The sequence below is a fragment of the Homo sapiens genome, chromosome 8 (genome assembly GCF_000001405.40).
Source record: "Homo sapiens chromosome 8, GRCh38.p14 Primary Assembly".
Taxonomy (NCBI): Eukaryota; Metazoa; Chordata; class Mammalia; order Primates; family Hominidae; genus Homo; species Homo sapiens.
The window spans coordinates 91,273,923-91,286,522 of NC_000008.11; the positions used below are offsets into that span (position 1 = coordinate 91,273,923).

General features: G+C 37.4%; 1 protein-coding gene across 4 annotated transcripts in view; it reads left to right on the forward strand.

Moving 5' to 3' along the window:
- Positions 1-12,600, forward strand: part of SLC26A7 (solute carrier family 26 member 7) — a 188,660-nt gene that overhangs the window by 64,427 nt on the left and 111,633 nt on the right. The gene's annotated exons all lie outside the window — the stretch shown is intronic.

The following is a 12,600-nucleotide window of genomic DNA, read 5'->3' on the forward strand; positions in this document are numbered from 1 at the left end:
GTATCTCTCATGGAATTTAATATGGATTTGGAGACACCATAAGAGCTTTATAAATAATTAAGAACTGTCAGGAAGATCTCGGTTTTTAACTTTGGATGTATCACTTGAACAAGTTCTTCAGCTGCTCTAAGATTTAGTGTTCCAGTATGTAAAATAGGGACAATAATACCTAGTACACAGAGTTACTTTGAAAAACAAATGAGAGAATATAAGGTGCTCAGGGCAGAATCTAGTACAAAGGAAATGTTCAATAAATGCTATTATTGTAACCTTATTATTATCATCTATTCCCCACTAGAACATAAACTAGGATATGACATTTATAAACATCAACTCCACAAAGACAAAGATTTTTATTTGGATTTGTCTTAGTCTATTTTGTGCTGCTATAATAAAATGCTGAGGCTGGATAAATTGTAATGGACAGAAATTTATTGGCTCATAGATCTGGAGGCTGGGAAGTCCAAGTCTGAACAGCTGTCATCTGGCAAGGGCCTTCTTTCTGTCTTATAACATAGTGGTAGACAGAGAGAGAGAGAGAAACAGAGAGCAAGAGAATGAGAAAGAGAGAGAGGAAGAAAGAGAGATAGAGAGCACCAAGGAATGCAAGAGTGTGTGCAAGAGAGGGTGACCTCACTCCCTCAATAATGGCATTAGTCCATTCACAAGAGTGGAGCCCTCATAACTTAATTCTTAAAGGTCTCACCTCTTAATACTCTTATACTGACAACTAAATTTCAACATGAATTTGGAAGAAGCAAACATTCAAACCATAGCAGAGTTGTTAATTGATATATCTCCAGTGCCTGGCACATAGATAGGTGAATTAAGCATACAAAGTGCTTAATTCTAGACACTTCTAGAATTTTTTATACTTCTAGATTTTAGCTTTGCTACCTGAAGGTAAGAAGATAAGGAGGTGGAGAACATTAGCTTTGCAAGAAATCTTTCAAAAACAATTCGGTTAGACAAATTCTAGACATCTTTTTTAAGGGCAGTCTCTTACCTCAAATTTGCCAAGGATGGGTACTTTGAAATTCACTTCCATATATCACTGATATCAGTCATTGGATAGATACCATTCAACATCTGCAGGTACTCTATGCATAAATGCGCATATATTCCGTCTCTCTTCCACTTCTCTTATCTCCCTCACCCTCATCTATCTGGTTAAAAAACAGAAACAGAAAAAGAAAACAAACAAATCCAAAACGGCATAGGAAAAGATACCATATAGCTTAATTAACATTTTAGACTCACTCTCTATATGTAGAATGTATATAGAATATATAATTGTAATATATAACAACATAGAATATAGAATTTTGGGTCTCTGGGCATGTAGCCAGCACTTTCACAATAACTGGGTAAAAGATTATTTATTTTATTTTTTTGAGACAGTGTCTTGCTTTGTTGCCCAGGCTGGAGTGCAGAGGCATGTTCACAGTTCACTGCAGCCTTGACCTCCCAGTCTCAAATGATCCTCCCACTTCCGTCTCCTGAGTAGCTGGGACTACAGGCATGCATCTTTCACTGATTTTTTTCTTTAAAATTTTTTGTGGAGACAGGGTCTCATTGTATTTCTCAGGCTGGTCTTGAAAACCTGGGCTCAAGTGATCCACCCTCCTTGGTCTCTCAAGAGCTGGGACTATGGTTGTGAGCCACCATGCCTGGCCTAAAAGAATATTTTAATGACGTTTTGCATCCTTACATGATACATGTGGATCCATGATCCTTCTCTTTTAGCTTATTGTGCATAAACTTTGGGGGAATTGCTGGGGAATGGCACTGTGCAAAGAGAAACATCATTACTGCTTTGGTATGATATCGGGTGTCCAAGCCACTTCCTCCTCTAAGGGTAAATTGTGTGAGAAGGGAGTGCTGGCCTGGACCATGACTGTATGCACTGGTCTGACCAGACAATCGCTTCTCAGTCTTGCTTAGAGTCAGGGATTAGCGTTGTGTGCCTTTTCCCTTGCTTGGTATTTCCACATTTTCATGTGGGCCTTAATGTTTGCTATTGCACACTTATCCTCTTGAAGCCAGTGAGCTAACTAATCCTCTCTGAAAATAACTGGATTATCTTTAAGTAGTAAATTAACCCTTTCAGAGCATGATGGCTGTATATAATAAATTTTTGAATTAATTAAACAATCACAATCTGAAAAGTGATATCATCCCACATGCATGGTGTGATGTTTACTTACATAATTCTGTCACTTTATGGCCAAGGGATTACTTCTTTTTTTTTCTAAAATTTTGAATATAGCTAAGTAACATATCTTCTACTAAAATATCAAAAGATAGAAATCATAAAAAGAAAGACATGCCATTTTTTATTAGTGATCTTGAAAAAATAATTCATAGAATTTCAAAATCAAGTTTAAGAAAACAAATTCACTACTAACTTGCATTTGTATATTATTTTATTATTACTATTATCTTGCATTCATTTGACATTTTTTTACTTTTCAAAGAAGTCATTGATTTTTAGTGTGGCGCTATGAGCCTCATTTTTGTTTATAAATCCTGGATTCCATTAAATATAACTACAATGAAAATTCTAGCAGATATAGGAGTAGGAGATGGTGTTCATCAAAATTCTTCTCCAAATCAAGCCCCCTTGTAGCCAAGATTATTTCTTCTTTCTGTGCTGAACTGGACCTGAACTGACCATTCTCATTTCCTTCCTGTAATAATTGGGTTTTATGGGGGTTAGAAGCTATGTTGGGACTCTCATCAGGATTCACACTGGACTGTCCCTCTTTCTACTTGGGTTAAAATTTGCTGAAGCAGAAAAAATTCCTTGGCCAGCAATCTCAGACAAAGCCATAAACTGCTGATTTTTTAAAATGCACTTCATCTTATCACGTGCTTCCTTCCATATCACAGAAACTTTTCGTTTTATTCCATTTAACATTGAGACCCAGAAAACCAGAAACCACTGTTGCTGTCACTTTCTCTTCCTAACCTGGGGGTCTCAGAGTCTGAAGTAAAAATGGTAAGAAGAAACAAAGAAATGGTATATTTCATGTATATTTGTGTTTCAACACACATACATGCCTCTGGTTCCTGTCATCCTTGGAATTCTTGACATGGCCTCAAGTCCTTTCTCAATGAGCCCTCTTTTCCCTTGCTTTCCTTCGAATACTGAGATGTGTGTCCTTCTCCCTGGCTTGAACTTCCAGTGATTTCTTCATTGCCAGCCTTTACTAATGCACCCTCAGGAACCCCTCTTTCTTTGGGAATAAACTGCACACTTTCAAAATGTTCACAAAATATTCTCTCTACCTGTTTGCCTTTCTTAAAACCTGGCTCTCTTATACAAAGGCATTATCTCCTGAACATCTCTCTCGAGTGGAGGCTAATCATTCTCCCACTGCCTTTGGTAATTCGTGCATAAAACTGCTATTTGTATGCTCATTATCTGCCCTGTTCAATACTGCATCCCCATTTGCATATGCTCCTTTCAAAGTCAATATTTTTTCATGCTCATATATTTTTGTAAAATTTTAAAAGTAAGATATTTTAACATAAATTGAGAACAATGTCTCTTCCCAACTCAACCTCATTTGGGTCACACATCTTATGTCCAGTGGCATCAAAGTGGCTGCAATATGTTTACAATCTGGCTAAGAGAAAGTTGCCACAAAATACTGACATTGATGGACATAAAATAGAACTCATAATATGGCCCTATAACCAGAACATTATCAATAAACTTGTTAATGTCTGCAATTCAAATATTTATGTTTCTGTATAAGAAAACTTAAAATTCCCTAAAACTTTACAGCTATCAAGAATTTTAATGGAGGCTTTTTCAATTTTATAGTTTAAACTTCACATATTATTAACTTGGTACAAAGCTAAAATAAAATATTTTAATGTATCAATATTAAAAAACAAACTTAAATAAACAATGCTATCTTAGGCTTATTCCCCCCCAAATTAGTGACTGAGTCAGGATTTATGTGCTACTACCATATATCATTAGGGAGTGTAAACCAAGAGGGCAGGAGCTAGAGACTAGGAGGGAGAGATGAGAGGATGCTTGTTACAGAGCTGACTACCTTCAAGAGTGGCTGACTGCCATATCGTTGGGACCATGCCCCCTGCAAAGCTATCAATGTCACTTCTAGACCATCTTTCAGTGGCAGGGGGAGGAGGGAAGTGGAAATATTTATTCTCTAGCTCACTCTCTTATTGGTCAAAGTTTTATTCCTTGGGTGCTCCTCTGAGTTGGCATGTATGAGTGGGCATTAACAGAATCCCAGAGCAGGTGTCAACAGGGAAGCCCCACGGCTCCAGAAAAAAAAAAGGACCTGTCAGATTGCATCACAGGAAGTCAGACAGAGCTCTTGCAGAGCTGCAAGAGACGGGTGAGGCCAAGAACATCTGAATTGATGCATAAGAGATGTCTGACATACAAGAGAAAATCCAAAATTATCCTTCTATGCTCTCTATAGAAAATGTTACACAAATCATTGTCATATGTAGAAGTGTTCAAAGACTATACAGCCTAAAATCATAATATATAGAAGTATATACTATATATGTATACAGAGGTATCATAGAGTAAAAGTATTATAGAAGTATATCACGAAATTAATGCAAAGATGTTATTTTTTTCTGGATCATGGAATTTGTCAGCTTCTTACAATTTATAATTTGGTGTGATTTCTCATTCTAAATAAATATTTGCCTTTTTTTAATTAACAAAAACTGTATATGCTTATGAAGTACAACATGATGTTTTGATATATGTATGCAGTATGAAATGGCTAAATCAAGCTAATTAACATACGCATTACCTCACACTTTTTTTGTTGTAAGAACACTTAAAATCTATTCTCTTAGCAATTTTCAAGTATACAATATATTGTTATTAACTATAGTCATCATAGTATACAATAGGTCTTTTGAACTTATTTCTCCTAACTGGAATTTTTTGCCTTTTGACCAACATATCTCCAATTCTCCTCCAAATCCCGACCCACCTTAGCTTCTGGTAACTATCATTTCACTCTTTCTATTAGTTAAGCTTCTTTAGATTCCCTGTGTAAGTAAGATTAGGTAGTAATTGTCTTTCTGTGCCTAGCTTATGTCATTTAATATGTCCTTCAAATTCATCTACAATGTCACAAATGATAGGATCCCCTTATTTTAAGGCTGAACAGTATTTCATAGTATGTGTGTGTGTGTGTATATATATATATATATATATATATATATATATATATATATGTATCACATTTTAAGAAATCCAGTTATCCTTTGATGGACACTTAAGTTGATTCCCTATCTTGGCTATTGTGAATAGTGCTGCAATGAATGTGGGAGTGCAGGTATCTTTTCGATATACTGATTTCATTTTCTTTGGATATATGCCCAGTAGTGGAGTTGCTGATTCATATGGAAGTTCTATGTTTAATTTTTTGGGGAACCTCCATACTGTTTTCCATAATGACTATACTAATTTACATTACCACCAACAGCATACATGGCTTTCCTTTTCTTCATATCCTCATCAACACTTATCTTTTGTCTTTTTGGTAATAGTCATTCTAACGGAGGTGAGGCTATATCACATTGTGGTTTTAATTTGTATTTCCCTAATGATTAGTGTTGTTGTGTATTTTATTTTATTTTATTTTTTTGAGACGGAGTCTCGCTGTTGCCCAGGCTGGACTGCAGTGGTGTAGTCTCGGCTCACTGCAAGCTCCGCCTCCCGGGTTCACGCCATTCTCCTGCCTCAGCCTCCCTAGTAGCTGGGACTATAGGCGTCCACCACCACGCCCGGCTAATTTTTTGTATTTTTAGTAGAGACGGGGTTTCACTGTGTTAGCCAGGATGGTCTCGATCTCCTGACCTCGTGTGCACCCGCCTCGGCCTCCCAAAGTGCTGGAATTACAGGCGTGAGCCACCGCGCCCAGCCGTGTATTTTTTATTTTAATATACCTATTGGTCCTTTGTATGTCTTCTTCTGAGAAACTTCTATTCATGTCCTTTGCCCATTTAAAAAAATCAGGTTACTTATTTTCTTGCTCTTGAGTTGTTTGAGTTCCTTACATATTTTGGATATTAACCTCTCATTCGATGTATGGTTGGCAGATATTTTATCCCCATTCTGTAGGTTGTCTCTTCACTCTTTTCCTTTGCTGTGCAGAAGCTTTTTAGTTTGATGTAATCCCATTAGTCTATTTTTTCTTTTGTTGCCTATGTTTTTTGGCATCATATAAAAAATAAATCAGTGCCCAGACCAATGTCATGGAGCTTTTCCACAATATTTTCTTCCAGTTGTTTTATAGTTTCACCTTTTATGTGGAAGGTAACTAATTCTATGTGCAATTTTATCTTTCCTGTGGGAAGCCTCCCAACATATGTAAGATTTAGGACTTACGAGACCTGGATCTGTCTCTTGGCTCAAGTTTCTCGTATCTCAAAACTTGTAAGAAAACAAACTCAACTTTTCTTGATCTCACGTTCCCATTTAGCACCAAGCCTTTCTCTCCTCTTCGGAACGGCACTTTCCAAAGATGAATTCCTATTGTCTGCCTCTTCTGCTTCCACCAAGATCCATTTGCTCCTCCTTGTTCCCCTCGTGCTCTATTCCCCAGGAAGCCCTCTTGCCAAGGCCACCAGTGCTCTCTCTCTTGTCAAAGTCAAAAGGACATTTCTATTATTTGCCAGGAGTGCCATTTCAGTGGAATTACCACAGATTCTTGGCCATGGCTTCCTTTGTGCTCTTTTCCCCTACTTTTTTTTTCTCTGCATCTGGCAATTCCTATTGGTTTATTTTTCCGTCTTTTCATCTGATCAGTCTTTTCACATGACTAATTCAGTACTTTGGATCCAGTCAGCCACCTTTGGCCCTGTGGTGTATTCCAAAAGAAAGTGTTCTGTGCTCAAGCCTCAGGCAGTGAAACTGATTAGTTTTTAAAATATGTATGTGTAACACCTGTTTATATATGATGAGCTATATTTCTTTGGGAAATGCTGTCCCTTTCTTCACTGCCACAACCTGGATATCTGTGGTAGTTTCCTAACTGCTCTTTCTGTCAATTTTGTTTTTCTTCTGTATAACTTCTGTAGTTATCACCTAAAAGTAAACCTCATCACAATTTCTCCCATTAGAAAAAAATTTCCTAATGGCTTCCTTAAAATTCAGGATAATGTTCAGATTGCTTTAAAAAGTCTTAATCAAAAATGTTTAAATTGCATAGGTTTTATGAATTCATTGTACAAAGTGATAAAGATTCAAAGATATATAAAAAAACACCAGTAGCCCTCTTTTTGGATTTTTACATAAGAGTATCATACAAAACATAAGTCTGAGACTTGTTTTTCGTGTGTAACCACATATAATGGTCATGTCTCCCGGTTAAAGGGTGTAGTTCTTAGTCTCTTAAAGAGCTGTATAATATTCCATAGTACAATTGTGCAGAAGTGTGTCTAACGATCTTTATATTGATACAGGCATTGAAATTACAATCAGCCCTCCATATCCAGAAGCATCAAAACCCTGGAATATGGAGGGCTGGATATACTATGCCATTTTCTATAAATGACTTGAAAATCTGCAGATTTTGGTATCCCGGGGTGTCCTAGAACCAATTGCCAGCAAATACAAAAGTCTGCCTGTATTTTCATGTTCAACCAGTACATAAACTGTTTTAAATTCACAATATTAGGTATGCATTCTTATAGGATGTGAAAGTTTCCCAAGCCACTGGATCAAGGTATATATGTATGTGGAGGTGTTTCTTACCCACATCTTTTCTTTCTTCTTCTGGTACCTTGGAGAATCATCTCCCTCCCACTCTCGGGCCATTGGTTCCTATAAGCCAACATTATCTGCCATGAGGGATAGGAAGTGACTCTGGCCTAACTAGAGACTGCATCTCTCTGGCCACAATGATAGTAGTATTGTGCTTTTCAGAATATTAAGCATACCTTTTCAGCTGTTTATTGATGTTTTACATTGGAAAGTTGTACATCTTTTGTTGGTATTTGCTAGCTGATATCTCTTTGGGAGTTCTTATTTTTTAGTCACACTTATTGAGGTAAAATTTGCACATGATTACTTTTTTCAGCTTCTCAGCTAACTGAGGCCATCATTTTTCGTTCAGGTGTACTCACTGTTAGATTCAGTTTGATCTCCTCCCTTTGGTTATTTTGAGAACCAAAATAGAACTAACCACTTAAGTTAGTTCTAATCAGGGTATGTGTTCTCTCAGCACCTACATCAACCTGGCCATTAGGCTCTCTCAAGCAGGAATGAACAAGAAGCTGTTCAAGGGAAGGCAGATTCTGTCTTTGTGGGCAGAGGCCAGTCAGCTGAGGTTTGAGAAGACATTTCTAGGATTGAGTAGAAGGCTTCTCTGACTACGGAATTTCTACGTGTTGCTGCAGTTCTTCTCTAGAGCCACAGGATGGAACAACCCCTCCCAGGCAACAGCAGGCTGATGAGACAGAAGGTTCATAGAGGAAACTTCTATGCTTCTGCTGGCCAAAATCCTCCTCCTTTCTCCCTAATCAATGGCAAAATCCTAGTTTTTGCTGAGCTTGAGGAGGTGCAAGCTCTTTCCTCTGTCATTAGGTCTGTTGGATTTCCTCTGGCACCAAAGAGAATGCAGCTAAGCACTTGTGATTGTGGCATCAACTTTGACTTCAGATGCTCCTTCCTAGCCCTGCCAACTCTAACCTGATTGTAGTCTTACAACACAGAGGAAGTTGAGGGAAACAGAAGGTCTCGTAGGTTCCAGGTCCTATCACCCTGAATCTCAGGTAAGTTCTTACCACTTAATACTGAAGACTCTTTACCATCTAATTTCATCACCTGGCACTTTGTCACATGTGTCCTTTTTGCTGAGCATACCAAATGGCTTTACATTCCAGGTGAGCTAAGCAAACATTTTCAGAATGCTGTGCCTTTGAACACATTTCTTCTACCTAAATTTGTCCCCTCCTCAGGCATCTACTCTTCATGCTTTTTTGTTCATCTGTTACTCCTCATTCAGCACTCAGCATAAGCATTTCTCCTTTTTGTAAGACTAACTGGGATCCAGTCAGTAATTCCCCCTTTATTGTTTAGTTATTTTTAGTAGCAAAAAATTTAAAAAAATCATTCATGTTTCCATGAAACCATAAATGTGAGCTAAAAACATTCTAGAACTTTTGTGTAAGGAAAACTCGACTTTTAGAAGAAGGGTATCTGACTCAAGATTTTTATCTTTCCACTCTCCTAATGTTAAGGGATTCAAGATATTTCCACCACCTTTTTCAGAGCCAGAGAATATATGAGATAAACTTAAAAATACAGAAAGAGAAGGGGAGAAGTCCAGGAGGGGAGAGAGGGAGGAAGTGAAAGATGGGGAAGGGAGAGAGGAATAGGGAGAGGGAGAACAGAATTTGTACAACACCTTCATGTTTCCTGAGGTAGCTATTCCTATTTTCTAATTGTTACCTAGAAAAGTGCCTCAGGTTCACCTTCTTTTCCATTCCTCTTGTTCATAAAAGATGTCCTTTCATTTTCATTGAAAAGGCTACTCATCAGGACCTTAACTGGGTGATCAAAGAATGTAGCACAGGATTGAATCTTTCATTTCTTTTCTTTCGGTCTTCTTGTTGGTATTTTCTCCAAATTCATAACTCTTACTCTTTCTCTTATGGAAATTATTGGTACTTAGCCTTTATTCTTTGGGATGAGAACTTTAAAGTGCTTCTCTCCTTAGCCATTCTAGGCTTAAGTTTTTAAATGCAAGCAAAAATAACTCTGAAGCTCAATATTCACGACATCACTCTGCCATCTCCACTCCCAACTCTCAGGTATTTAGAAGAAATACTTAAGCTTTTGTCATTGGCTTGCTTTTATTCATATGAAATATCTTTACTGAGGGGGTGTTAGTTGGATAATACTATGAATTATTGAGTGGTAAGACTTATTAGGACAAGAATTTTGGCTTTGCTTTTAAAATAAATTTCTCAAATCCTAGAGTTCCTTTTCTACCATCGCCGAATGCAGTAATCCATCTGTGAGCCCAATACTTATAACTAACTGAAAAGCATTGCTTGGTTTTGGTTTGGCAACTTAAAAAAAATGAATACAGTACTTTAACATGATTTTGAGAAATATGTGTATATACATATATAGATAGATACATATAGATAGAAACTAGCCAAACTAAAAGTTTTCCGTTTTTGTAGAAGATATTTAGTTTTCTATTTTTGTAGAAGATAGCGGAAATTTATAATTGTTTTTCTGAGTGGTAATTTCTCTGTCATTGGTCACAAATAAGGTGGGTTAGATCATCTGGGAAGAGGCACTGTGTTCTTATTCCCCAAAAATGTGGTGAATACCCTAACAGCAACTCTGGTTAGAAGCAGGCTGGGAGTATAGGCCAGGAGCCTTTAGGGTTTTACATGAGCTAGTCAGCCTAGTCAGTCATCTTGATATTTTGCAAATATTTTCTTTCTTGTGCACCAGAGATTGGAGAGACGAAGGAGACAATTAAATTGTGTTTCTTTTTGTGGAAACTTAATTCTACAAAGCTTTAAAAGACTAACCACAGTTCCAAATATGATTGGCCTATCTTTATTCACATTTGTTTTTAGACATTGAACAGGCTTCGTCTCCTAAAAGTTACAGATATTGAGTCCTGAGAATATTGCCTTGAGAATCCTGCTAACACAATTTCTAGTGTTGGTACCATGTATAGCAGAGATTGGATGAAACTTTAACTCTTACATCTGAGTATTAAGCAAGCAGTTCCTTAAAAGACTATCTTTACATTTAGCAACATAACCTCATAACCTTCTTTAGAAACTAAATTTCATTGGTGCTACTTTTATGATTCCTAATACAAAATTTAAATGATATTATAGAGATTTGGGGATTATGAATTAGAAGTACAAAGGTTGTAATATTATTTAATATTTATTAAGCACAAGTGATTTGATCCTGTGCAGAAAGTGAGGTTGAACTCTCCAGCATCAAGTGACCTCTTACTTTCTGTCTCCCTCTAAAAATTGTCACCTGAATTAGTTGTGTAGGGTGACCATAATAAAGTGCCAAACAGGGTGGCTTACACCACAGGAATTTATTCTTGAGGCTAGAAGCCCAAAATTAAGGTGTTGACAGGTTTGGTTTCTTCTGAAGGCCATGATGGGAGAATCTGTTCCATGCCTCTTCTCTAGCTTCTGGTGGTTTGCTGGCAAGCTTTGACATTCTTTTGCATCTGGAAACAGCACTTCAATCTTCACATGATGTTCACACGCCTTCATTTTCACGTGGCATTCACACGACTTCCTTGTCATGTGGTGTTCACATGCCTTCATCGTCATGTGGCGTTCACACGCCTTCATCTTCATGTGGCATTCACATGCCTTCATCACATGTGTTTTCACATGCCTTCATCTTCACATGGCGTTCACACGCCTTCATTGTCACATGATGTTCTTCCTGTGTGCTTGCATGTCTCTTCACATGGTCTTCTTTTATAAGGACACCAGTCATATTGCATTAAGGTCCTACCCTATTCCACGATGAGCTCATCTTAACTAACTATGTAAGATATGACCTTTTTCCAAATAAGATCACATTCTGAGGTACTCAGGGTTAGGAGTTCAACATATAAATTTTAGGGGAACACAATTCAACCCATAAAGCATAAAGAAGTGCTTTATGAAGATGATAGACATTTCTGGGGCAGTAAATTCTACTGTAATAGCTGCTCCTTTGAATTGTGTTAGCTCTAGTTTTCTGGGTCATATTTGAAGCTCCATAACCAATGGCTATGGTCTATAAAATATTGTTGGTCTTGTATTCATATCTGAGAGGAACAAAACTAGTGCTTCTAAGTCCTAGCTGTCTGATCTTACAATAAAAAGGTAAGGCTGCTAGGCCAACAAAACATAGAGTATCTAACAGAGGGGTTTTCTATGTGTAATTGTAGCACCAATTTCTAATTCAGGTACATTACTCAATTTCTAAACTCCATGTGTTTCTTTGGTTTTCTGAATACTTGCTATAATGTCATATAAATCTAAATAAACTAGTCTGAAACTGAAATAAAAATCTGAATTTTAATATATAAATCTTCTCTGTGATAAATAGTTCACTTTCTCATCACTAGTGATTGAGTCACTTTCTAGTGATCTCAGCCAAAAGATTATAGTAGGAGCAGAGCCAGAGATTGAGCTACTTACATGCTTTCATGGCCCTTCTTGGTCTGGGGTCAGGCACTGTGCCTAGGGAAGCCAATCTCAGCACAGCGTGGGTTGGAGGGACAAGGCATACTGGTGGCAAATGTTCAGTTTCACACTAAGGGCTTCTCGAAAGGTTGGTAGTGTTCACAAACCCTGAGACTATTGGTGATTTTGATATGGGAATCTAGAATTTCTTCTCCTGTAACCATTATCATACCTACAAAGCATGTTTTCTTAAAAATTTCATCTTTCAAAGTCTTCTCGTGACCATTCTTTTGTGGCTGAATCAGCCTTACATTACCATTAAATAATTGTCCCTCTAAAAATAATCAGCCATGTAAAGATTTCATCCATCCCCTCAGCCATCCTCTTTTGAGACCCATTAGCCTAACA